This window comes from Homo sapiens, chromosome 12, assembly GCF_000001405.40.
Source record: "Homo sapiens chromosome 12, GRCh38.p14 Primary Assembly".
Lineage (NCBI taxonomy): Eukaryota > Metazoa > Chordata > Mammalia > Primates > Hominidae > Homo > Homo sapiens.
The window spans coordinates 48,332,926-48,358,908 of record NC_000012.12 but is presented as its reverse complement, the minus strand read 5'-3'; the positions used below and the strand labels follow the sequence as shown (position 1 = coordinate 48,358,908).

At 45.6% G+C, this 25,983-nt stretch overlaps 1 protein-coding gene and 1 pseudogene across 11 annotated transcripts, besides 5 other annotated features; both read left to right on the top strand.

The window, feature by feature from the left end:
* On the top strand, positions 2,364-3,250 carry OR5BK1P (olfactory receptor family 5 subfamily BK member 1 pseudogene; annotated as a pseudogene).
* Positions 7,235-7,971: an enhancer, noted in NCBI's record as "H3K27ac hESC enhancer chr12:48744721-48745457 (GRCh37/hg19 assembly coordinates)". NCBI's record gives its function as "activates a minimal SCP1, AML or CMV promoter by ChIP-STARR-seq in naive H9 embryonic stem cells {active_cell/tissue: H9 hESC(naive)}" and the evidence as "EXISTENCE:reporter gene assay evidence [ECO:0000049][PMID:30033119]".
* Positions 7,235-8,269: a biological region, named in NCBI's record as "H3K27ac hESC enhancer GRCh37_chr12:48744721-48745457".
* Positions 7,480-7,559: a silencer, noted in NCBI's record as "silent region_4407". NCBI's record gives its function as "represses an Ori minimal core promoter by ATAC-STARR-seq in GM12878 lymphoblastoid cells {active_cell/tissue: GM12878}" and the evidence as "EXISTENCE:reporter gene assay evidence [ECO:0000049][PMID:35858748]".
* ZNF641 (zinc finger protein 641) lies at positions 7,663-24,322 on the top strand. 11 transcript variants are annotated; one of them, NM_152320.3, is made up of 7 exons: positions 7,990-8,123; positions 8,691-8,863; positions 10,794-11,002; positions 11,566-11,657; positions 13,435-13,564; positions 14,197-14,310; positions 15,182-21,729. In NM_152320.3, exons 2-7 carry the CDS (start codon positions 8,847-8,849, stop codon positions 15,934-15,936), a joined length of 1,317 nt encoding a protein of 438 aa, NP_689533.2. In that variant the 5' UTR covers positions 7,990-8,123; positions 8,691-8,846; the 3' UTR covers positions 15,937-21,729. The 11 variants fall into 11 exon arrangements, with proteins under 11 accessions (XP_011536200.1, NP_001166153.1, NP_689533.2 ...); XM_011537898.3 differs by lacking the exons at positions 7,990-8,123; positions 8,691-8,863 and adding an exon at positions 7,663-7,701; NM_001365804.1 differs by lacking the exons at positions 8,691-8,863; positions 15,182-21,729 and adding an exon at positions 21,746-24,322.
* Positions 7,840-8,269: a silencer, noted in NCBI's record as "silent region_4406". NCBI's record gives its function as "represses an Ori minimal core promoter by ATAC-STARR-seq in GM12878 lymphoblastoid cells {active_cell/tissue: GM12878}" and the evidence as "EXISTENCE:reporter gene assay evidence [ECO:0000049][PMID:35858748]".
* Positions 8,410-8,479: an enhancer, noted in NCBI's record as "active region_6283". NCBI's record gives its function as "activates an Ori minimal core promoter by ATAC-STARR-seq in GM12878 lymphoblastoid cells {active_cell/tissue: GM12878}" and the evidence as "EXISTENCE:reporter gene assay evidence [ECO:0000049][PMID:35858748]".
* Positions 24,323-25,983: the final 1,661 nt, after the last annotated feature.

The following is a 25,983-nucleotide window of genomic DNA, read 5'->3' as shown; positions in this document are numbered from 1 at the left end:
AGAGTGGAAAACAGGGATAGAAATTTTTATTTCTTCTGGCCATTAAAGCTCTAGTTTTAGAAAGGGATTTAGTAATGGAATCCTTGCTTCAATGAAATCCTACTATAAAAATCAAGTACTATTAAACAGATAAAAGGAGAGACAAATTGATTAGGGTGGCTATGAGGGCAGAGAGGCACCCTCTAACTCCTCACCCCTTCAACACATATGGTGGCCCCTGAAGCACTATAACAGAGCATATAGGATTCTGTTTAACACACTTTGTAAACACTGCCGGGGCAGTGGTCTGGGATCCTAGGTCTGGGGCATTTCAAGAGGGCATCTGGTCCAGTCACATGTACCCAAGTGGAATCAAACTACTGAGATGTCCAATGATGACGGGGGGAAGAGACCACGAGACAAATTTTTCTTTAGAAGTTTAGCTTCCTTTGCCCTAGCACTTTTCTCTCACTTCAATTCAGGTTTTTCCTTTGCCTTTTATCTCTGGAGAAAACAGAACTAGGCTGGGTATTTCCTGAAAATCTCCAAGTCCTTTTTACTGCACACATGCACACAAACATATATATACAATGAAAAAATAATTTTACAACATCAGAGAAATAACAATGGAGGCTCAGAAGGGTAGGAGGGTGGGAGGGGGCTGAAGGATGAGAAATTACTTAAGGGGTAAAATGTACACTATTCAGGTGATGACTACACCAAGAGCCCAGGCTTCCCCACTACACAATATATCCAAGTAACAAAACTTCACTGTACCCTCTAAATATATAAGAATTAAAAGAAAGACAAAGAAAAATGTCCATCAGCCTAATACCCAGTAGAGAAATCTATTTTTCAAAATTCAATGTCAGTCTTTGCTCATACATATATAAATTTAATTTTTGTACAGAAGATCATAGGCTATATGGTTTACAAGGGTATTTATTTTGTTTACTCAGTTTCACAAATAAATAAGTTAAGGCTTAAAAAAATGAACTTTTCCCAGATTATCCCACTAGAATGTGTGGGCCAGGACAAACTAAGCCCCTTACTCTAAGACTAGTGCTCTTTTTACTTCAGTAGCAGTTGACACAGAACTATAGAGACCATTGGCTGGGTGTCAGAGCCAAGGATTACTGGAATATATTATAATTTAAGTGAACTTCCTACTAAGCCAGGCATGGTGGCTCATGCCTGTAAATCCAGCAATTTGGGAGTCCAAAGCAGGTGGATGGCTTAAGCCCAAGAATTCAGACCACCGTGGGCAACATAGCAAGACCCTGTTTCTACAAAAAAAAAAAAATTAAAAAAAAGTATCTGGGCATGGTGGTACATACCTGTAGTCCCAGCTACTCATGTAGTCCCAGTTACTCAGGAGGCTGAGGCAGCAAGATCGCTCAAGCCCAGGAGGTCGAGGCTGCAGTGAGCTGTGATTGTGCCACTGCACTCCAGCCTGGGCAACATGGTGAGACCCTGTCTAAAAAAAAAAAAAAAAAAAGTAAACAGGGCCAGAGCTCAGGACCCTTCTAAATCAGGATACTTTGCAGCTATACAGATGGGACATTCATGGAGCCAGACTTACCCTTTCAAAGTATCTCCTTACAAAATATTTAGATGTGTGGGGAGCTGAAAGAAAAAAATTTTTAAGAAGCGAACTCCCTACTAGCAAAGTTGCACATGATCCCCTAACCACACAAGACTCAGCTCTAACAATTCAAAATCACCAAGTATGATGCACTTGGATGCATACAAGACTAGCTGAAACACCTGGTTCTAGTTCCAACCTTGACTGGTTTTAGTCCCAACCTAGTCCTCACTTTGCTATGAGACCATAGGCAATGCATTCTCTTCATTTGTAAAATGAAGGGATTAAAGTATATTATGTAAATGTCCTCACATAGTGTGAGTCTATGATCTTACCATTCTGAGAAGGAATCATTTTCCGATAGGCCTCCCAACCCTTATCCAGAGAAGATTTTCTAGGCTTTGCCACTGGGGCAGTTTGTCTCATTTTGACTCCAGGACCTACCTGATTCATATGCACTTGGTACATTTACTAAACAGTGATGGAGGTACAGAGTAAAGCCTTCAAGATCATGCAGAGACAGTACTAGAAGGTAGGAAAGAAGGGCAAGTGAGGAGATTGTACTTAAGATGACACTTCCTTATCCCGAGTTTCCCATTTTGGGCCATAGGTAAGGAGGTATACTCGTCTGTAAGTAGAAAACTCCTGTTCAGTGAGAATGACTCAGATGAATGCCCTGCCAAGTAGAGAACCATTCATTTCTTTTGAGGGACAGAATCTCTAAGCAACCATAATAAATGTCAATATTAGTCCTGAGTTTGTCCTTGTGGGATTTTCCAGTGATGCAGAGATCCAGATCATGCTCTTTGTGCTAATCCTGGTGATTCATCTCCTGACTTTGACGGGGAAGCTGGTGATGATCCTGGAGATCAGGGCTGATTCTCACCTTCAAAGACCCATGTACTTCTTCCTTTGACATCTGTCCTTTCTGGATCTCAGCTACTCCTAGTTACTGTGCCCAGGATGCTACAAAATTTCCTCTCAGAAGAAAAGCATCTCAATGTGGGGCTGCCTCACCAAGTTTCTTTTTCACTCTCTCTGGGGGAACGGAAGCCTGTCTGTTCTCTGCCATGGCCTATGATCACTATGCTACCATCCGCCACCCTGTGGTCTATACCATGGTCATGAACAGATCTCTCTGTATGGTGATTTTGAGAATTGCTTGGGCAGCGGGATTTCTGATTTCCTTGATGGACAGTCTTTTCACCCACAAGTTACATTTCTGTGGGCCTGACATCATCCTTATTTCAGGTGTAAGCTGCCTCCATTCTTCCCTCTGTCCTACATTGATCCCACTGTCAATGAGATTCTTCTAGCTGTGTCACAGGCATTCTGGGGGCTACTGACACTTTCCCTAATCTTCTTCTCTTACTCTAGAATCACATCTGTCATACTGAGCATCTGCTCCTCTGAGGGCCAAGGCAAAGCCTTCTCCGCATGCCCTTCTCATCTCGCTGTGGTTCTCTCATTCTATGGGACAGCTTTTTTCAGATACCCAGGCTCTACTTCAGGTTCGGTGTTGGGGCAAGTGGTCTCTGTTCAGTATAGTGAACTCTCTTTTCTCCTTGCTGCTTCAAGTACCATTTTCATCCTTCCTCTCTAAATAATGTCCAGCTGCATTGAAGCACATGTCATCAAACTATTCCACACACACTCCTCCTTGTTATTATTACCTACCACACTCCTGGTCACTCACCTTTCATTTAAGACTCCATCAACTGGCTTACTATCCCTCTCTCCATAATGCCTTCATTATTCCTAGTGACTTCAACATCCATGAGGACAATGCATCTCATGCATATGAATATGTGCAAGTATAATTGTATTCCTTGCTAAAATACTGAAATATTTTCATAGCCACTGTCAATCCTCTTCAATGTCATGCCTCAATGCTCTAGCCCCTCATCAGGATTCAACAGATCTCTTCACGATTCAGAAACAAAAAGTAATCATCTAACACAACAAGGTGCCTGCAGGACCCTGCACCAGCGTTATGGGCTACATCTATTTTGATGGGTCCATGCCATGCTAGCACTAGTAGTTAAATATTTTGAACCCTATCCCTGCTAGCACTCTAGTCTCTCAGTTCCTTGGCTTTATTTTACCTTAAATGATTGTGTTCACCACTGCAGCCACTCACTCTCACAGTTCATACCCTGTATCTACTTATGACCAACAGCAGCAGGAAGAATGCTGCTATGTCCCAAGGAACTCTGTATTCCACACATTAGAATCCACCTGTGTGCCCAACTCATCCCAGTTACCAGAATTCCATCAACAGAGCAGCCCAGGACCACCAAGTCTCCTTACAATGATATAATTGGCACCATCAGGTGTATCACTTCCTTTTAAACACAAATATAATGACTCCCTATCACCTGATATAGCAAATAAAAAATTCTTCATCCACCACCTTCATCCACTATTCTATCAATTTCCCTGTTTCTTCTCTACTCTAGACTGACACCCCCACATATGTGTGTTCTTCATTCCACAACATGCCACAGCATGTCCATTTCTGCCTTCTGATTCTATATGGGATGCCCTTCCTACATTTCACCTTCAAAGCTGATCTTGAAACTCCTCCATCAGAAAGTCTGAAAAAGATGGAATCATCTGCCTGCTACTCAATGCATAGTTAATTAATCCCTGCTGTAACATTGCATAGGAGTTTGTACTTGTCCATTGTAAAAGGTAAAGTACCACTCTGGTTAAAGGTGCACCCAGTGAGAAGTCAGACCAGGGCTCAATTCCTGATTGTGCCTCTTGGCTCACTTAATGTCCCTGAACCCATGCAGATCTACACCTTGCAGGGTTTGTTAACTGATAACTAAAGAGATGGCACACCAAAGCATAATATAAAGACATTTTGAATTTATTCCTTGTGATGTTTAAGACAAGGTTCTGTACAAGTACGGACGACCAAAGCAAAAATGGACAAACGGGGTCACATCAAGTTAAAAAGCTTCTGCACAGCAAAAGAAGCAATCAACAAATTGAAGAGACAACACACAGAATGGGAGAAAATATTTGCAAACTACTTATCTGATAAGAGATTAATAACCAGAATATATAAGGATCTCAAGCAACTCTACAGGAAAAAATCTAATACTCTGGTTAAAAAATAGGCAAAAGATTTGAATAGACATTTCTCAAAAGAATACATACAAATGGCAAACAGACATATGAGAAGGTGCTCAATATTACTGATCATCAGAGAAATGCAAATCAAAACTCCAATGAGATATCATCTCACTCCTGTTAAAATGGCTTATATTCAAAAAGCAGGCAATAACAAATGCTGGTAAGGATGTAGAGAAAAGGGAACCCTCATACACTGCTAGTGGGAATGTAAATTAGTATAACTACTAGGGAGAACAGTTTGGAGGTTCCTCAAAAAAACTAAAAATTGAGCTCCTATATGATCCAGCAATCCCACTGCTGGGTATATACCTAAAAGAAAGGAAATCAGTTTATCAAAGAGATATCTGCATTCCCATGTTTGTTGCAGCTCTGTTCACCATAGCCAAGATTTGGAAGCAATCTAAGTGTCCATTAACAGATGAATGAATAAAGAACAAATGGTACTTACACACAATGGAGCACTATTCAGCCATAAAAAAAGAATGAGATTTAGTCATTTGCAACAACATGGATGGAACTGGAAGTCATTATGTTAAGCGAAATAAGCCAGACACAGAAAGACAAACATCACATGTTCTCACTTATTTGGAGGATCTAAAAATCAAAACAATTCAACCCATGGAGATAGAGAGTAGAAGGATGGTTACCAGAGGCTGGGAAGGGTAATGGGGGAATGGGGACAGTGAGGATGGTTAATGGGTACAAAAAATAGTTTGAATGCATGAATAAGACCTAGTATTTAATAGAACAACCTAGTATTTAATAGACCTAGTATTTAATAGTTATTATAGTCAATAATAACTGTACATTTTAAAGTAACTAAAAGGGTATAATTGGATTGTTTGTAACACAAAGGATAAATGCTTGAGGGGATGGATACCTGATTCCCATGATGTGATTATCATGCATTGCATACCTGCATCAAAATATCTCATGTACCCCATAAAGATATTCACCTATTATGTAACTACACAAATTTAAAATTATAAAAGTTATTTTTAAAAAGAAAAGGTTCTGGTATAAAGAAGATGATACCATTCAGCCTCTTTTTTTTTTTTTTTTTTTGAGACGAAGTCTCATTCTGTTGCCCAAGCTGGAGTATTAGTGGCACGATCTCTGCTCACTGCAACTTCCACCTCCTGGTTTCAAGCGATTCTCCTGCCTCAGCCTCCCAAGTAGCTGGGACTACAGGCACGCACCACCATGCCCAGCTAGAGACAGGGTTTCACTATGTTGGCCAGGCTGGTTTTGAACTCCTGACCTTGTGATCCGCCCGCCTCTACCTCCCAAAGTGCTGGGATTACAGGCATGAGACACTGCACCTGGCTTTTTTTATTTTTTGGAAACAATCTCACACTGATTTGTTTCCCAAAACAGTCGAGGAGAGTTTGGGCTATTATAATATCTATCAGTTCTTTCCAAACATTCTTTTCAGGTAAAGTCAGGTTTACGTACTTGGTTATGTTCAATTTAACTCTGTGTGACGAGGCAATGCTGTGTCCAGCAGCGCCCATTTCCTTTTCCATGAGGCACACATTCTTTACTTCCCAGCCACCCTTCTGGGTAGGGCCATGTGACCATGCGCATGAGTTCTGGCTAAGGGAATGGGGTGAAAATGATACACACCACTTCCAGGACTGGCCCCTAATATCTCTGACAAGTTAACCACGGCCAGCCTCCCTTATCTGAGGGCCACAGATTTGACTACATTACCAAGGCCTCGGCATGGGAGAACCACCAAATGCAAGAAGCCTGGTCCTTCAATGAATTCAAGAAGTACAGACCCCACCCTCTGGCCCCAACCAACTTGTTACCACACTGTGACTTGTATGAACATAAGCCTTTATGGAGTTAAGCCCCGAGATACTGGTTTTGCTAGCCTACTCCAATTAACGCACCTTATATTTACCACCAGTGGTAGCATAAGTGAAAAGAACCCCTGGACTTAGTTCCAGGACCCGGGATAAAAATTCTGGCTCTACTACTACCCCGACATATCCCATGATCTGCTCCTAGAATATGCTCTATACTCTTCCCAACTGCGTGTCTACTGCATTTTCCTCTTTCATTAGACAGCCCTCCTGACTCTTCTCTGCCTCACGATTTCTGTCAGAGTGGGGGGCCTTCTCTGACCTCCGTCCCATACGTGGTCACTTCTCTTTGCTTCAAGTGCAGCGTACGTTCCTCTGTTTTAGAATCTACGTTTTTATTGCAAATATTTGTTGACATGTGCTTCCCCAGACTGTGAATCCTTTAACTCCCAGCATTTAGTTACAGTGTCTGGCACACGTAGAAAATAAATATGCATTAAACGAATGATTGTCACATATGACCTTAAGTGAGTCAATTATTTTTTAAGTCTACTAAATAAAATTTTTGAAAATTGTTGTAATGATGAAATAAGGAATGTGAATGTGACTTGTAGGTTATAAACAGATTCTAACAGCAATGGGTTTACTCACTGTTTGTAGGCCCTTCTCATCTTTTCTAGTCAAATCCATCTTAATGCTGCAAGGTAGCACTATCCAATAGAAATATAATGCAAGCCATATTTATAGCCACATTTAAAAAGTTAAAACCAGGTGAAATTAATTTTAATATATTTAACCCAATATACCCAAAATATCACTTTTTAAATTAAATCTTCTAAATCTTGGAACACATCTCTATTCAGACCAGCCACATTTCGAGAGCTCAGGTGTCACCTGCGGCTACGGCTCCCGCAAATGGGACAGCAGCCGCAAGGCCAACTTCAGATAGCAACCTGACTTCCCCTCAGGCAGAATAAGTGACTCCTCCTCAGTGCTCTCTCAAGCCCTTTATCCTATCGTGAAAACTAGAGGGTACGCTCCTTGAGGAATTCCAGACTGTTGTCTGGAGAAATCGCTCTCGGCCTCGGTCTGGCCTGTAACGGGCGGTTACGCAATTCCAGGTAATTGACGAACCCTGAGGACAGAACTCCGTGGGAGGCCCAGTAGCCAGAGCGGAAAATGGTCAGTCAGGCAAGAGTGCGGGCAAGTGGCCACAGCAGGCTGCGATTCCGGCGCCCGCCGCCCTCCAAGCGTCTCGGGCCGCACCCTCCCCACAGCGGCGGGCGCGGAGGTCCCGGGTTCGCGTTTGGGGGCGCCTGAGCCGCAGCCCCGCCCCCTCCCGTCCCTCCCTCCCTCCCTCCCTCCCACTCCTCTCCCTCCCACTCCTCTCCCTCCCACTCCCCGCACCTCCGCCGCCGCAGAGCCCCGGAAGCGGGCGGGGATTTCCTGTGCCCGCCCCGCCCCGCCCGCGCCTGCCGGGCCGCCGTCTCCGCCTGTCGCTGGCTCCGCCGGCCGCCGGCTCCCAGACGCAAGCGGAGGGCGGAGGGGAGGGGCAGGCGGCGCCCGGGAGGGAGGCACCGGGCCGCGGGCCAAGCCTACCGGGGGTGAGTGGAGCCGGGCCGGAGGGAGCTGCGGCTGGAGGGAGGGACGCCTGGCTTCCCGGGGCGGCTGGTGGGGGCTCGGTCACCCATAGGGGCTGGGAGGAGGATCGGCGCGTCTTCCGGGTTGCTGCCTTTCCCGGGGGTCTGCCCCGCTGACATTCTGTGCCCGCCTCTCGCCCTGTCTCCCCGTGCCCATCGCAACTGTCAGGCCCTGCGGGCTCCCGCCGCTGTCACTCGCGCACAGGTTACCCCGTGGCTCCCTTTCTCTTCACTTGCTCATGCCCCAGCTCATGGGAAACCTGTTTTCTGACCTCACTTCCCCTGCTCCAGTTCTGCCTTGCTCGGATTCTCTGAAATCTGACCCTTTCCAGGGGCACTGTGACAAGAAGAAGGGAAGAAGCAACCTTACCCCTGAGCAGGCTCCCGTCCCGCCCATGCCCTACCCGTGGCAGGGGCCAGGGTTCTCTGATGGACGGAGCCAACTCGTCCGTGTGCCCTTGGGCTACTCATTTTTATAACATGGCCCCTTTTCTGTTCATCAGCACTGGCTGCAGAAACTTCCTTTTGCAGGTCCCTTGCTACCCATATGTGTGAAGAAAAGGGGGAAATGAAAGCCCTAGAACCCACACTGCAGTGGGCATGGGATCATCCTGGAACCAGGAGAAACGAGGTTAGGGCTACCACCTTAACCGCCCAGGTGCTGGCTCTGCGTGAATATCTTAGGAAATGCAAGCTGAGGACAGGTACCCATCCCATCCTTTGCTGAGATTTTTGCTAGCACTTCCACGGATTTCTGTCAGTGGTATAGAAAAACTTACAGCTGGCCCAATGGGCTCTGCACAAAGAGGCTTCCCATTAAGAGACTCTGCTACCTGGGGGAGATGGAGAAAGGGTTTGAGACAAGTGTCCAGATATGTAGCTAGAGGTAAAGCCTTCAGGGAGGATTTGCACAGGAGCTAGAGAACCAGAAAGATGGGACGAAGAGGGAGAATTAGTGCCCTGTGTGTTAAAAGTGGATACAGAGCTGGAATTCAGAGAAGAGAGCTAAAATGGAAGTTTCCCTTTATTGCTTTAGCAAGAATTTTCCTTTCTCATGAAAAGTCTCTGAAAAGGAAACCTCCTAGGCTGGGAATCAGTCCAGGGTGCTCCCATGAGGCCCTGAGCCATCTTTGGACTTCTGAGATAAAAAGGGAATTTGTTTTTCCTGTGCATTGGGCTTAGGGTTCCCACCTACCTCTTTTGTCAAAGACAAATAGGCAAGAAAATAGACGACTTGACATCTGTGATTACCTACCCTGGCCTTCAAGGTTCTTGCAAGTGTTATTGAAAGGATGTAAGTAAGCCAGGATAGTTACCAAGTTTCTGACTGCTCTTGGAAGCCTTTCACTGACTCTGACTGTTTGGATATTGAATAAGAATACCCAAAATATGTTGCCAAACAGAAAGAGATTCTGAGTCTCAGATTATTTCTCTGCCATAAAGCCCTATCACAACAGAAGTGTGACCCATCCTGCTCTTAAGTTGTCTAAAGAAAAAGAAGAGCCCACTATCTGGTATTGTACACTGCAGGATTATTAAGAATTAAAAAAAAATAACCTAAATCTCTTCTCTTGCAATCAAGACCCATTTTTTTCTGTTTGACCTATATAGAGATAGAAGGGACCTCTGTTTTTATTCATTAGTAGCATCATTCATCAGCCTTCTTCTCCAGACAGAGAAAACTACATCCGACATTTTTAACTTTCCCAGTGGCTGTATTTCCAATCCCTTTCTTGACTTTGATGTTTTCTGATGAACACACACTGGCTTCACCATACGCTTCTTTCAAACTGAATATATTTTTCTAATGAGATCTGACTGGTGCCTGACAAATAAACAGGTTTGTTCTTCTGGGTCATGTTAGCAGCAGTTCTTCCCCCCTTTTCCAGCTCTGGTTCAAACTCTTTCTGTTCCTTTTTACTTTTCCTGATTAAACTTCAGCTCCTCACAGACCAACAATTTCTCTTACCTCTTAGGATTACTTTGGAGTCTTAACACCTGCTTTCCAAGTTATCAGTTTTTCTACCATATTTACTACCAGTTTTCATTGGATGGTAGACCAAGTGCCTTTTTATTGAGGCTTGTCCCAAGTGAGGTACCTTTTGGCCCAGCCTCATGATACAAATACGCCCCTTGGTTGGGACTTTTACCTATAGTAATCATTTCATTCTAAACTGATGAGACTGTGATTTGTGGCAGAAAATCTTCTGTGTGATTACATCCATCTTGTTGAGTGCAGGTCTATATGTATTTCTTCCTGTATGTTTCCAAATTGCTTACTTTCCTGTACTTCATGTGCTTGAAATTAAATGGATAGCCTTTGAATTTCCAGGACAGTTCTTTTTTTTTAAATGAACTTCTTCTAACCTTCAGGTATATTCTGTTTCTATAATGAGGTCCACAAAATACCAGTTAGTGGCTTTGCTACGTAGCACCTGCCAATTTCTTAGTTCCTCCAAGAAGCTTGGTGCAGGCTCCGTTGATCGGAACACATCAAGCTTTTAAAGTTCATCTTCCAGCAAGCTCCTCCTATCTAGTTTTGTCTATTATCCCTGGGCCTGTTCTTCATAACTCCCTTAGAAATATCACTCCTTTCCCATTTTCATGGGCATTGCTGATATGAATTTGTTCCAGGTCACAATTTGGGTCTGCAGCAGAAATGCTTTCAGAACAGACAGCAGCGCTGGGGACAGGATGGGAATCAATGAATGTACAGCTGGATGGAGCAGAGCCCCAGGTGGAAAGGGGAAGCCAGGAAGAGCGGCCATGGAGAACAGTACCAGGACCTCTGGAGCACCTGTGCTGTGACCTTGAAGAGGAGCCACAGTCCCTTCAGGAGAAGGGTGAGAACTCACAGAGTGTGTGGGAAGCACAGTGCATAGTCTCCTAATATTTATTCCAAAAGTAGGGTTAAAAATCTCCAAATTGCCATGGACTAAATAGCATAACCTGTACCAGGACCAGCCCATTCTTTCTCAGCCCTGGTCACAGGTACAGAATAGGCTCCTGAATTCAGCAAACCATGCAACTGGGCTTCTCTTGTTTCTTCATAATTACTCCCTCCACATGCAAATGCATAATTAGTGATACTGAATGAGGGAGATGAAGGAAGTGACAGCAACCTGATTACTGTTGGATAACCCACTCAGTAAGATGTAATTTACTAGATGAAAATTACATTCAAGTACTGTAAATTCAAACTATAGCTAGTCTAACTAAAAGCCATCTGATACCCTTTCAGAACATTTTGAGTGATGGCCTTCTCATCTACATTTATGCATTTGAGTTTTACCAATGGGCATAGATACAGAAGTTGTGACCCTTAAGCCTCTCTAAAATGGGGCCCAGGCCCCATTGAGAAAGGGTAGATCGTTATTCTCTAATGTTTCTTCTCTCTCCTTATCAGCTCAGTCTGCTCCCTGGGTTCCTGCAATTCCCCAGGAGGGGAACACTGGAGACTGGGAGATGGCAGCTGCACTTCTTGCGGCTGGATCACAGGTGAGCTCTGCTTCCCTTGGCGTCTCCTGTGGTCCCATCACTGCTGCCTTTGTATTGCTTTCGCATCAGCCCATTGATGAGTTGGCTCACATGATCATCAATGGTATGTTCATCTTATAACTGAATAGATTCTATCCCTTTCCAAGGGGTCATAAGACCCTTGGAAAATTAAATGGACCTACAAGAAAGGGAATTCCTTGAGGTTAGGGTTTTTTTGAGTTTTGTTTTGTTTTTTGTTTTTGAGACAGAATCTCACTGTGTTGCCCTGGTTGGAGTGCAGTGGTATGATCTTGGCTCCCTGCAACCTCCACCTTCTGGGTTCAAGCGATTCTTGTGCTTCAGCCTCCCAAGTAGCTGGGACTACTGGCACACGCCACCACACCTAGCTAATTTTTGTGTTTTTAGTAGAGACAAGGTTTTGCCACGTTGGCCAGGCTGGTCTTGAACTGCTGACGTCAGGTGATCTGCCCACCTCAGCCTCCCAAAGTGCTGGGGTCACAGGTATGAGCCACCGTGCCTGGCCAAGGTTAGGGTTTTTAATGGATGGCTGTGTTTGTTATCCACAGGAGGATTTTAAGAATAATTAATTACCTTCCTTTAAGAAATAAATCTGGAAAGATTAGGAAAAGAGGACCTGAAGAAAGCTTAGAAGAACCTAAAGTGGAAGGATTGGGTAGATGAGGGAGCATTTATGGAAAAGAAGAGGAAGAAGGTTATAAAGAGGGGCAGAGCTAGAAAGGAAATTAGGTTTAGATTCAGAAGGCAATAGGAGAGCTGTGGAAAGCTAATACTAATAGTGTTAGTACTAATAGAGTACACCCCCAGAGTGTTTATCATGTATGCCATTTTCTGGGTGCTTTATGTATATTAACTCATTTAATTCTGAGAACAACTCAGTTATCCAATTTTACAGATGAGGAAATGGGGCAGGGAGAGATTAAGGCACTTGTGTAGGTCATGCTGCAAGAAAGTGGCAAAGCTGAGTCACTTGGCTCCAGATTCTGAGCTCCTAACCACCATACTGTGCTGCCTAAAAATATAAAGATATGGCCAGGCACGGTGGCTCATGCCTGTAATCCCAGCACTTTGGGAGGCCGAGGTGGGCAAATCACAAGGTCAGGAGTTCGAGACCAGCCTGGCCAACATGGTGAAACCCCGTCTCTACTAACACCACAAAAAAAATAGCTGGGTGTAGTGGTGGGTGCCTGTAATTCCAGCTACTTGGGAGGCTGAGACAGGAGAATCGCTTGAACCTGGGAGGTGGAGGTTGCGGTGAGCCAAGATTGTGCTACTGCACTCCAGCCTGGGCGACAGTGAGACTCCGTCTCAAAAAAAAAAAAATGCTGTGGCAAGGGAGGCAAGAAAGAATGTTTTATCTGTAGCATTTTGTGCTGATAGAAAAGGCAGGGTCCAGTGGAAGAAGGAGGAAATGGTACATAATTTCTTCATAAAAAGAGTAAGGCCAGGGAGAAGTGACTGAGTAGACACCTGTAGCTAAACAGAGGTGGTGATGAGTTTATGGTGCCTCCAGCTTCTCATGGCCCCACTTGGGAAATTCCTCCAGTAACATTACACTCACTCACTCCTTGACCATCTACCTTTACTCCTCTCCTCATTTCCCTGTTACCAAAACTATGTGCCCTACCCAGGGACTTCTGGGCAGCTCTTTTCTCAGATCATTTCTCACCCTCTCTCCTCTACTAACTTAGCCTTTCATACTGAATCACATTTTCCTTAAAAAACAGCTGCTGACAGAAGATGCTACATTTTGTTTCAGGGCCTGGTAACCATCAAGGATGTGTCACTGTGCTTCTCTCAGGAGGAGTGGCGGAGCCTGGACCCCTCTCAGACAGACTTTTATGGAGAATATGTCATGCAGGAAAACTGTGGGATAGTAGTCTCTCTGAGTAAGCATGACCTTCTCCAGCCACTAGAAGATTGGACTCTGGGAGGACGGAGCCATCTGCTTCAGGGCTATTGGATAGTGTCTGTCTAGGACTCTTTATGTGGCAGGGAATCTGTCTATGCTTCCGCTGGAGAAAGAACACTAGGGCCAATCCCAAGAGAATGAGAGTAAATATCATTAAAAAAAAAAAAGTAAAAAAGCAAATGATGCTTAATTGTGGAGTAGAACTTGAGGTTCTTCTTGGTTGGGAATTAGGAGGTTCTCATAAAGCAGAGAGAACTGGAACTGGGTCCTTGTAAACTTGGGAACCATGTAGAGGAAGATAGGGATGCAGGGAGTAGGACTGTCGTAGTAGGACTAAAGTGAAGTTACGCCCAGAAAGGCCAGCTGGGCTGGAAGTATCTGAGTGGAAGAAAACAGGTTCATTGGGAAGGAGAGTGATTTTCTAGGCAGAGAAGAGGGACTTAACAGAAATGGGTGGGGGAAGAGGTTGGGGTGGGGATATGTTTCTTTCTTGACCTTCTTTTGTCTAGAGTTCCAAACAATAGGAAACAGTTTTTTGTATTTTTTTTTCAGAAATATAGAATTGCTGTTGAACTAATTGACAGCTCTATTTTCCTTTCCCATGAGCAGGATTTCCAATTCCCAAACTGGACATGCTTTCTCAACTAGAAGGAGGAGAAGAACAATGGGTCCCTGACCCCCAGGACTTAGAGGAGAGGGACATTCTGAGGGTCACATATACAGGTAAGAACCTAGAATAGGCTTTCAGCCACTTCCTTCACAGTTCGGGACATCATCATTCCATGTTCGTTTAATCCCTCCTCTGCCTCAGAGAGTTCCAGAGACAAAAGGTTTAGAGATTTTTTTCTTCAAAAGCAAGGGAGTGTAATAGAATGATGTAGCAGGCACTTTGTGGATTTGAATTCTGGGCTGTAGTTGTGGGACCTTGGAAAAGTAATAAAACTCCCTTTGGTTTCTTCATCTGTAAATTATTGTGAAAATTAAATATATGAATATATTAGAATATTAGAATAGAACAGTGCCAAGCACATAATAAGCACTCAATAAATGTTAGTTGTTGTTATTGTTGATATTGTTGTCAACCTCCCACCCATTTCAGGAATGCCTTGAGGACTGCCGACAGGTGTCATTCAGCCAGTGACAATTGCGGCACATTCTGTAATTCTCTCCATCTATGCTTAGATAGAAAGATGCTGATTAATAGTAATATACAGTAGTAAATAAATAATGGTAATAAATAATAACAATAACATATACAATTTACTAAGTACTTAAACTATGTGCAGGTTCTGTGCTATCTATCTTATAACTGCCGGAGAGAGAGGTATTATTCCAATTTTACAGAAGAAATGAAGGTTTAGGGAAGTTAAGTGGGAAAGCTGAGATTCCATCTTAGGTAATCTGCCTCCTAAGCCTAGGCTTTTAACCTCTATATCTATTGCACTGTCTTGTACGACATTAGACTATGTTCTCTCAGCCCTTCTGGGGTCAAGTCTGGGCCCTGGCAGGTATCAGACAACCTCATTTGTGACTTAGGCCTCAAGCACTCTCTTGTGACTCTTCTCTTGGGGTTGGTATTTCCCCTTCTCCGCAGGAGATGGAAGTGAACATGAGGGGGATACCCCTGAACTAGAAGCAGAACCTCCCAGAATGTTATCCAGCGTGTCTGAAGATACTGTTCTCTGGAACCCGGAGCATGATGAGAGCTGGGATTCCATGCCCAGCAGCTCCAGAGGAATGCTCCTGGGGCCCCCTTTTCTTCAGGAAGATAGTTTCTCAAACCTGCTGTGTAGCACAGAGATGGATTCCCTGTTAAGACCCCACACATGCCCCCAGTGTGGGAAACAGTTTGTATGGGGTTCCCACCTTGCCAGGCATCAACAAACACACACTGGGGAGAGACCCTACAGCTGCCTCAAGTGTGAGAAGACCTTTGGGCGAAGACATCACCTCATCAGGCACCAGAAAACCCACCTACATGACAAGACCAGCAGGTGCTCTGAGTGTGGTAAGAATTTCCGATGCAACTCCCATCTGGCCAGCCACCAGAGAGTGCATGCAGAAGGCAAATCCTGCAAAGGCCAAGAGGTTGGAGAGAGCCCTGGCACAAGGAAACGGCAGCGTGCCCCACCAGTGCCAAAGTGTCACGTGTGCACTGAATGTGGGAAGAGCTTTGGCCGAAGGCACCACCTTGTGAGACACTGGCTGACCCACACTGGGGAGAAGCCCTTCCAGTGCCCTCGCTGTGAGAAGAGCTTTGGCCGAAAACATCACCTGGACAGGCACCTGCTCACCCACCAGGGACAAAGTCCCCGGAACAGCTGGGACAGAGGAACATCTGTCTTTTGAAATCTGTTTCCACTACAGCTATGGTCAAGTCTATCAGCCGGTGCTACCAGGAGTCACTGCCAGGGCTGCCGTTCTCCTGAACCCCAGTGGCCAGAATCATAAGCCCTGACCCCATCCCTAGAAAGATGAGGTCCCAGCAATGGCCAGAGCATTTCTCACCAGTTCTGTGAGATAGCACATAAAAATAGAGTTCTTTGGGCAAAACTTTTGGGAAGCAATGCATCCTACATGGGCTGATATTCAGCCTGAGCTGTTCTCAAGAGGAGAGTGGTACTGGCAGTTTATGGCTGAAATCCATTCTGATTGGTTGGAGTCTATGCTATACCAGTTGTTAAACATTTTGAGTATCACTCTTGCATACTGTTACTATTATATTTTCTCTATATATAGACAGAAAGGCCATTTTAGAATATTAAAGGCTCTGAAAATTTCTGCAGTAGACCCAACTGAAGGTTCTATTAAGGCAGTGTTTCCTAAATGTATTTGACCTCAGTATCCTTTCTATTTACATCCCACAGAACTGGTGACTATGAAACACTCTGGTGAACACTGGGTTAGAGAGTAACAAGGAAACAAGAGATAGTGATCAGGCATCCAGAGCCCCCTTTTTTATCCATATGAAAGCCAGGGGGGCCAGACCTTGTTCATGTGTGGGTCTGTCTTCCTTATGCCAATCAGCAGTATATACATCACCTCTCACCCTCACCTGCTGAAAAAATAACCTTTTTACCCATTATTCCTACTCCCTTCATCCTGCACATACATATATCCAGCTGAGAGATCACACTACAAGGCTAAGAGATGATCTAATACCCCCAAATAGCCCTGGCCCACACAGAAAAACAGAAAAACAAAAAAAACTTTATCCCCTTGAACAGTCCCCTCTCTCCTCTTGACTGTCTTTATGTGTCTGTGTATTTGTGTGCAGGGTCTTTGAAGACAGCATGCTATGTGCAAACTGTACAAGCTAGGTTTTCTAGGGGCTGTGTTCTGGGGATGAGGGTAGTGGGGATTATATGGGGTTTTTTCTTTGTTTCAAGACAGGAAGCAGTCTGGTTAAGGGAGAACTAGTGGAAAGGGTTAAATGACAGGTTAAGTTGAGTACAAAGCTTTCCCAGTACTGCTGAGATTAAGACAATTGTGGATGTGTATGTCTAGGTTTGAATCTCTGGGCTGCAGATTGCTTTTGCCCTGGCAGAGAAAGAGGAGTCTTTGGGGAGGTGAGCTGTTTCTTGTTGATTTCAGGCAAGAGGCACATAGAAACTTTGTATTGAGTGGGGATTTTGTTTTAAGTGCTGGAAAATTAGGGCAGGAATTACGTGTTTGCAAGTTGTTGCCATCACTGGTTTGAATTTGACTGCCTCATCAAGGGGCAAGAGTTATTCTTGAAGATCTCATTCTCCCAGAAACAGAACTTTAGGGAAAATGGCTGTGGCTTAGCTTTTCAGCTGCTGCAGGGTAATAAGCTTTCTGGTTGGTTTTCCTTCCAATTCTGGAAAGGTGTCCACACTAAGACCCTTAACTCTAGGGCTTGCATAAGTATTCTAGCATCGTTAGCTAATGAGTTGGTCATTGTTTCTCTTTATCAATAATTGTGTTAATACCAATCTTATAATTTAAAAATTATCTTGTATGTAAGAGCAGTTCGGGGTTAGGGAGGAAGAGGAGCAAAGTGGGATATTTTCTCTTTAATGCTTAGATACTGTTTCTTCCCTAAGATGTGTTTCTCAACCACAATTGGTGGAATGAACCAGAGAGGCAAGAGGAAGTGAATTGCACCAATTTAGTTTAGCGACTGTGCCTTTTGCAGGAAAAACTGGGTGAATCACAGCTCCTCAGAGTCCTGGACTCAACTAGAATTGAAGATAGACTTATTTTGCTGACTGGGCTTCTTAGAGTTTATGTGACTTGAACAGCTTGGCCCCTGCCTCCCTTCTGCTACTGTGAGCAGCCTTCCTTCTTCCTTCATTCTTCCTGGAATGCAGTTCTCTTGCTTATGATCCTATGAATAAGGCAAAATGGCTGGTCTTTGTAAGGCAGGTCTTGCCCTAGCTTCTCAGAAACAGGAGCATTTTAGGATCAGTATTAGGAGATGCCCCAGGGAGTAAGAAAGTATTGGGTTCAGTGATAAATCTGGACTCTGACATTTCTTTTACTCTCCCTCTTTAATACTAAAAGCTCTGCATAAGCAATGGTTCAGAACCTGTCTTGGGTACAGACCTGTTGAATCTGACAGAAACCAGAAACGCACTTTTGAGAAAAAGACATTTGTAATTCACTCAGTTTTCCATACACATTTAGCAGGTTCAAAGCCCATCTGTGGAATCCCTAAACTGCCTTCAAAGAAAGGGAGTTCCCCGATCTAAAATGGTCATTATATATTTGTGTCAAGAATTAGAAGGCAAGGGTCACTAAATATTTTAAGGATTAAGGTACCAGAGGCATCAGTGGTATAAGGATGGAGTCTGGTCTTTAATTACGACAAGGGTATTGCTTACATTCTACTCTCTGGTTTTCAAAAAGATCTGACATGCTGACAAATCCAGCTCCTCACAAATCTTGTTTGAAGGACTTGTGGGAAGTGATATTCCTTACTATTAGATCACGCCCCTTATAACTACATGTTAACATCCAGCCTTTTATCTGTTTGAGTAATTGTAGGGATAGAAAGTGAAGCCCCCAGAGTTAGGTGCAAGTATAGCACCCAGCTGAAAGGCATCATGGAGTCTAAGGGCCTTCTACAGAAGGGGCAATCCTTTGGGTTATTTCTGGTGTACCACTGTCTTCTCTACCTCGGTCCAACACCACCTCTCTTGGACAAAAAATAAAACAAGCAACAGCCATCAGATGAGTGAATAGATTTGAATGATTTTTCCCACAGGGAATCAGCCTCAAATGTTCATGTTTCACCCCGTCCCCTTTAAATAAAAAGAATCTCTGTGTTCTCTTTGGGCAAAATGTAAAACAGGGATATCATCTTCAGGAACCTGTCACATTTTTCCATCTGGTACCTCCACCCTATTCTGAGTATCCTCCCCTTTCCACCCCAACATAGTATCTTTCAAAGAATCCCTTGCATAGGAGACTGTAACCGAAAGTGTTAGCTTTTCACCAGGCTATTTACACTTTACGCCTTAGTTCTAATTGTGGAAGGAAAAACTTTTCCCTTGTCAAAGTAATGTTATGGCTTCAGAGAACCAAAGAGGTGATAATTTGGGACAAAATTCCTCCCTTTCCAACATTCCTGCAATCAAATCACTGTTTCCTATTTCCATCAAGGGCAGGTCCTGACTCAGACCTACAAAGGCCAGAAGGCCAGTTCTTTCCATCTCTGAATTAGGATGCATGCACTGAATGGGAGTGGGTGGGGCTGGGCAATATCAGAAAAGTGAAATCCATTCCTTTAGATCCTTAGAGAGCCTGAGCTAGCAAAATTTTCCTCTTTTCCCTTGTGAGCCATACCAAACTGTGGCTCTCAAAATTTGGTCTTTGGGCCAGCAGCATAAATATCACCTGGAAACTTGTTTGAAATGCAAATTCTTAGCCCCCGCCCCAGGAGAACTACTGAATCAGAAACTCGGGAAGGAGCTCAACGTTCAGTCTTTTAACTAAATGCCCTCCTGGATGTGTGATACAAGCTAAAGTTTGAGAACCACTGGCTAGGGGATTCATATTTCAAGCAGTGGTACCTCACCCTTTTCGGATGGATCTTCACACTCCTGTTGTCAGGTTTATTCTCTGTAGCCTCACTAGGCTAGACCTCAGTTCCATTCCCCTTAGTTGCAAGGTCTTCTTCCACTCTTAACTCAGTAAAAGAACTGGGGCTAGTCACCAATATCAGAAACTATGGTGGGGCAACTACCAAGCTCCTGTGATTCATTGGGGCTGGGGCTTCCAATATGGGCACTGAGGATACTTGGGTCCAGAAATCTGAAAGGACAGAAAGGAATAAACAACTCAAAGGTGGAAAATCCAATGTAAAACTGAAAAACTGACATCCGAGGAAATGATTCTCCTTTGCCTTGTCCTTTTCACTGGCTCTTCTAATAAGAGGCAGGTGGAGTGGGCATCTAGCACAAAGGTAGAGTAAGGCCTACCATGCCAAGCCCTTAAGAACCCAAGTTTTCCAACATAAAAATTGGATTAGAGACCAACGAGGGGCCATGGAAGGGATTTCTAACCATGATTTGGCATACCCTATGGGCAAGGGCAGCAGGAACATCAGAGTCCCCAGGGCATAAGAGAGAACTAGGTTTTTCTAGTAAGATTTGACACAAGCAAGATTTAAATCCAGACTCTGCTTACTAGGTAGAGGTTGTAACCAATGAAGCCATGGTGCCCAAAATGCATTCTGCTGCTTAGAAGATTCTGACAGATTCAGGCTGTGGGGAGGAATCTGCCTTGCAGTCTCTGACCCTGCTACCTCCTCCAGTTCCTCTCCCAGGCGCACCTATGAGGACAGACTGAACTGACAGTTATAAATCTGCCCACAGGTCTTCTCCAAGGTCAAAAGATTAGACCCCAAGGCTGAGACTTTCTTCAACTCCAGGCCTCATGCTGTCTCCCTCTTTCCTGCCACCACCTCCTTTTTCCCAACAGGCAGCATTCTTCCTCTACAATTTGTTCATACTCTTTTTCAGATTTTTTTGTTTGTTTGAGTTTTGCTTTGTTCTGACTGAGCAATAACATGCCCTTCCAAGGGCATTTGTTCTCTCCAACCCCCATTCCTTCTTCCATTCTAGTTTATCTCTTCAAGCTTCTGGCCAATTCTATTCCATCATGAGTCCACTTACTACCTATTCCTCTGCCTACTGTCCAGTTTCTTTTCTATCAGCTTTAAGCCTACTAAGCAGGGGTCAATTCATACTTACCACTCTCATCCTCCAAATTCTTGGCTTGGCTATAGCAGTTCATCAGCCACCTCACCACTCTGCCCCTTTCTCATACACACTCCCACAGGACACCACCACTACTCCACCCCCTGCCTAGTACTGCCAAATCTGGCCCCTCTACTCCATTCCCTAGAGGTTCTTCTTCCAATCAGGTAACTTCCAAAGTTGTTTTCCACTTTTCACCATTTTTAATTTACTTCCTTCCAGTCTCCTGTGACTCCTGAGAATCAAACTCTCTCTTTTTTTTTTTTTGAGATGGAGTCTTGCTCTGTCACCCAGGCTGGAGTGCAGTGACGCGATCTCGGCTCACTGCAAGCTCCGCCTCCCAGGTTTACGCCATTTTCTTGCCTCAGCCTCCCGAGTAGCTGGGACTACAAGCGCCCACCACCACGCCTATTTTTTTTTTTTTTTTTGTATTTTTTTTAGTAGAGACGGGGTTTCACGGTGTTAGCCAGGATGGTCTCAATCTCTTGACCTCGTGATCCACCCACCTTGGCCTCCCAAAGTGCTGGGATTACAGGCCTGAGCCACCGCGCCCAGCCCAAACTCTCAATTCTACAAGCAATTTTTTGTGTCCTTATTATGTGCCAGGCACTGGCAATTTCAGGCCTGGGAGATCAAATGTGACCCTTGCTCCTGCTCTCAGTGTGTTCTTCAGCCAAGCCCTCCCCCACCACCACTTTCCTGCCTTGTCTCTTGCCACCAGGCACCTGGGCATCCTCTTCCAGGAAACTTTGGGGATGAATGCCCACTTGCCATGCAGCCCAACTGCTCCGTGCCTATCAGATTTCTAGCTATTATCTGAATTGGTTCCTTCTGATGAACTGTGAACTTCCTTGGGTTACCCAACAGGGGACTTATGGTCCCTGTCAGTTGAATAAAAGATGTATTGGCTGTGTCACTTATTTGTTCTCTAGGTCTTCTTCACTTTTCCCTCCATTCCTGCTCTTTGCTCCTGACAAAAAAGACTACCACAGAACGGGAGAAGATAAGTCGCAGAATCTTCTGAGAACGAACTCGTCTCACTGCCTGAAACATAAGCCTCCAGAAGCAACAGGTTGGGCCTCGCCACCTCCCTCTGGCATCCTGGTCCCCATGTGATGCTCCTGAGTCAGCCAGACACTCAATCCAACCTGGAGAGGCTGGAGGATTGGGCTGGTGGTCTGCTCCCAGGGAGCACTTCAGCGGCAGACTGCTGAGCAGGGCCAGGACTAGGGAGATCACCCAGCACGAGTTTAAGGAGGCCCTCAGTTTCAAGGCCCTACAAGGGCTGACCCTGCTCTTGAAGATCTGTTGAGTGCTGAACTGTTGAGTGAAGATCTGTTGAGTGGAGCCACCAAGTGGTGGCGGTAGTGAGTGTGACTTGACCCCTTAGAGGCATGTTTGCAATAACTGGATATTCCTGAGATTGAGAGGATAGGGTAGGAAATGGTTGGAGGAGAAAACATGGAAAAGCAGGTGTGGAGGTAGGGTCGGAAGCCACTGTCCATTAACTCAGTGACAAAGCCTCCCCTCTTGGACAGGAAGGGCCTGTGTTGAGTGAAAGTCAAAGGCGTGGCTCCTCCTCTACAGGAGTTGCCTTAAAAAGCCTCAAGCCTATTGCTTAGGGGATGATCTTCAGATGCCTTGCAGCTTTCCTTACCCCAGCCAGATTGTTTTGTTGCCCTTGGGCCTCATAAGTTTCCTTATTTTCTTGTGTTCACTCTCGCTTCCCCTCAGCCACTTGGAGTCTGGTCTTTTCCATCACCAAAAAGGGAAGGAGGTAAGGGAATTGAGAAAAGGGAAAAGAGAAACACAGCCACTATGACTGCCCACTAGCTAGAAATCTGGCAGGCACGGGGATGGTATAAACTCCCACCAACACTGTATATGAGTGCCTGTTTCCCCACAGCCTTACCAGTAGAGTAGGCTCTTGAACATTTGGATTTTTGCCCATCTGATTAAAAATACTATTTTTTTGGTATTTATGTGTAGTATAGTTTAAACATGCATTTCTAAATTGGACCTTTTCATGTTTTTAAAAGGACATTTTTGTTTCTGTTAAGTGTTTTTCAAACAACCATTGAATATTTGTTCTAGAGGACATTGAACATTCGTTACAACTCAAATCCAACAATGATGTGATCAGCATTACACTAAGCAGTTGAGGTAAAAGAAAAGCAAAGAATTGAGGTCAGGGTCATTCAATTTGCTTTGACTAAAGTTAAATACCCAAATGTCTCACTCAAATGTGAGCTCAGAAAGGTGGAGATTATGTTTTATCCATTTTAGTATTCTCAGCACAGGGCCTAGAATCTTGCAGGCACTTAGTCATTAAGGAATGAATACTAGGGATGAGATTAGCTGTTCTTGGGAATGCCTCTGGCTGAGTACCCAGCCAACATTATGATCTTCACAATCTGTGTGGCTTGCTAATGAGACATGGTCATTTCTTATATTTCATCGGAGTACAGCCACCCTAAAGCTTATCAATGAAAAATAATCTGAAATGAGCATCGTTAGCTATATAAGGTCAAGGTCTGGGTCTCTCATGTCTGCTACTGTTCTTGCATATGGTGGGCACTTAATAAATTGGATACATTTTGCTGAATGAATGAAAGTTTGAAATGAAGAAACCATCATAAAACAAATATAAGTGTGATGATTTTTAGGAAATCTAGAAAACAAATTGTTCCCAGTATCATTCCCATCCTACCTTAGAGGAAAAAGGCTAATACTAGACCACCTAGTATTGCAGCCTTCTTAACTCCTTTGTTTAGCGAGGTCTGAGTTCTTGTCCCATGACCAAGAAGAAGGCAAGCAGACACCAGAGAGTAAGTAAGGCAGAGTAGAATTTACTAAGCAACAGAAAAGCTCTTAGCAGCAAGAGGGGACTCAAAAGTGGGTTGTCAGAAATGAGGCTGAGTTCTGGGTTTTTTATGTGGCAAAAGAAGTCTTCTGTGGGTTCTGTCATAATGGGAGGGGTAAAGTTCCCCCAGGGGTGTTGCACCATAGTGATTCCATCTTGGTTATTACCCAAGCACCTTAGCGAAACCCATGGTGGGGGGGAGGCGCCCAAACCACAGTGCTAATGATATTACAATTAGCTCTGGGTCATGTTCAGGACATTTAGTTGATTTATGGTGCCTGTGCCTAAGTTGGGACAGTCCCTTCTGAGCAGACATCCTGGTATGAGAGGAAATTCTTAACTACATTTCCATCTGCTAGTTACACCATAGGGAGGGTACAGGTGCGGTCCCACCGGCGCTGTCTCTCTCCCAAGAACCTCCTTCTCTATCTACCTAGCCAGCCTCTAATTGCCTCCTCTCTCACTGTTTCTTTAGGTAAAAACATCCTAAGACTATAAAGGGGGTAATACATCTGGCTATCATCAAGGCACTTGATTATTCTAATTGTGTTCAATAGACAATGTTTGATTTTCTCATTGCCTCTTTTCAGAGGCATTCTTCCACTCGCATTCACGTGCATAATAAACTTAATTACGGTGCTGCAAAGATAGTTGACCCAACCGGTTTAGCCAAAACTCACTGCATGTCTGCTTTCTGCCTTGCCTTGTAAAGTAGACATGTAGTTCTAGCTACTTCAGGCTCTAGCACCAAATGAGCACATTACTAGCAATTAGAAACATTTGGGGTTTTTTTATTTAATTTTTTTGAGCCAAGATCTCTCCCTGTCACCCAGGCTGGAATGCAGTGGCAGGATCACGGCTCATTGCAGCCTCTACCTCCCAGGCTCAAGTGAGCCTCCCACCTCAGCCTCCCAAGTAGCTGGGACTGCAAGCACACACGCCACCATACCCAGCTATTTTTTTTTTCTTTGTTGAGATGGGGTCTTCTTGTGTTACCCAGGCTGGTCTCAAACTCCTGGGCTCAAGCGATCCTCCCGCCTCAGCCTCCCAAAGTGCTGGGATTACAAGTGTGAGCCACTGCATTTTGGTTTTACCTCTCTTCTCAATTACTATCATCCTCCAACTTCCATACCTCTCCACCCTGTTTCCTGAGAACAGGGGCCTCTCTCTGATTTATCTTATCTCCAATACCTGGTGCTATAATGCTCACAGGTGCTCCTTCCAGTCTCTAACATTTCCTCATCTCTCCCGCTCACGTTTATCTTCTGCCCCACTCCTGAATTTCTGAGGAAATATTACCTATTAGATTGGTAACAATGAAAAAGACTTGGCAGCCGCCGCCGCCCGACCGCCGGGAGGATGGAGTTCAGCGGGCAGCGGAGCTGTCTCAGTCTTTGCCGCCGCGCCGGCGAGCGCCGCCAGGGAGGCAGCGGCTGGAGGAGCGGACGGGCCCCGCGGGGCCCGAGGGCAAGGAGCAGCCGCCTGCCTTGGCCTCCCAAAGTGCCGAGATTGCAGCCTCTGCCCAGCTGCCACCCCGTCTGGGAAGTGAGGAGTGTCTCTGCCTGGCCGCCCATCGTCTGGGATGTGAGGATCCCCTCTGCCTGGCTGCCCAGTCTGGAAAGTGAGGAGCGTCTCCGCCCGGCCGCCATCCCATCTAGGAAGTGAGGAGCGCCTCTTCCCAGCCGCCATCACATCTAGGAAGTGAGGAGCGTCTCTGCCCGGCCGCCCATCGTCTGAGATGTGGGGAGCGCCTCTGCCCCGCCGCCCCATCTGGGATGTGAGGAGCGCCTCTGCCCGGCCGAGACCCCGTCTGGGAGGTGAGGAGCGTCTCTGCCCGGCCGCCCCGTCTGAGAAGTGAGGAGACCCTCTGCCTGGCAACCACCCCGTCTGAGAAGTGAGGAGCCTCTCCGCCTGGCAGCCACCCCATCTGGGAAGTGAGGAGCGTCTCCGCCGGGCAGCCACCCCGTCCGGGAGGGAGGTGGGGGGGGTCAGCCCCCCGCCCGGCCAGCCGCCCCATCCGGGAGGGAGGTGGGGGGTCAGCCCCCCCGCCCGGCCAGCCGTGCCATCCGGGAGGGAGGTGGGGGGGTCAGCCCCCCGCCTGGCCAGCCGTGCCGTCCGGGAGGGAGGTGGGGGGGTCAGCCCCCCGCCCGGCCAGCCGCCCCGTCCGGGAGGTGAGGGGCGCCTCTGCCCGGCCGCCCCTACTGGGAAGTGAGGAGCCCCTCAGCCCGGCCAGCCACCCCGTCCGGGAGGGAGATGGGGGGGTCAGCCCCCCCACCCGGCCAGCCGCCCCGTCCGGGAGGGAGGTGG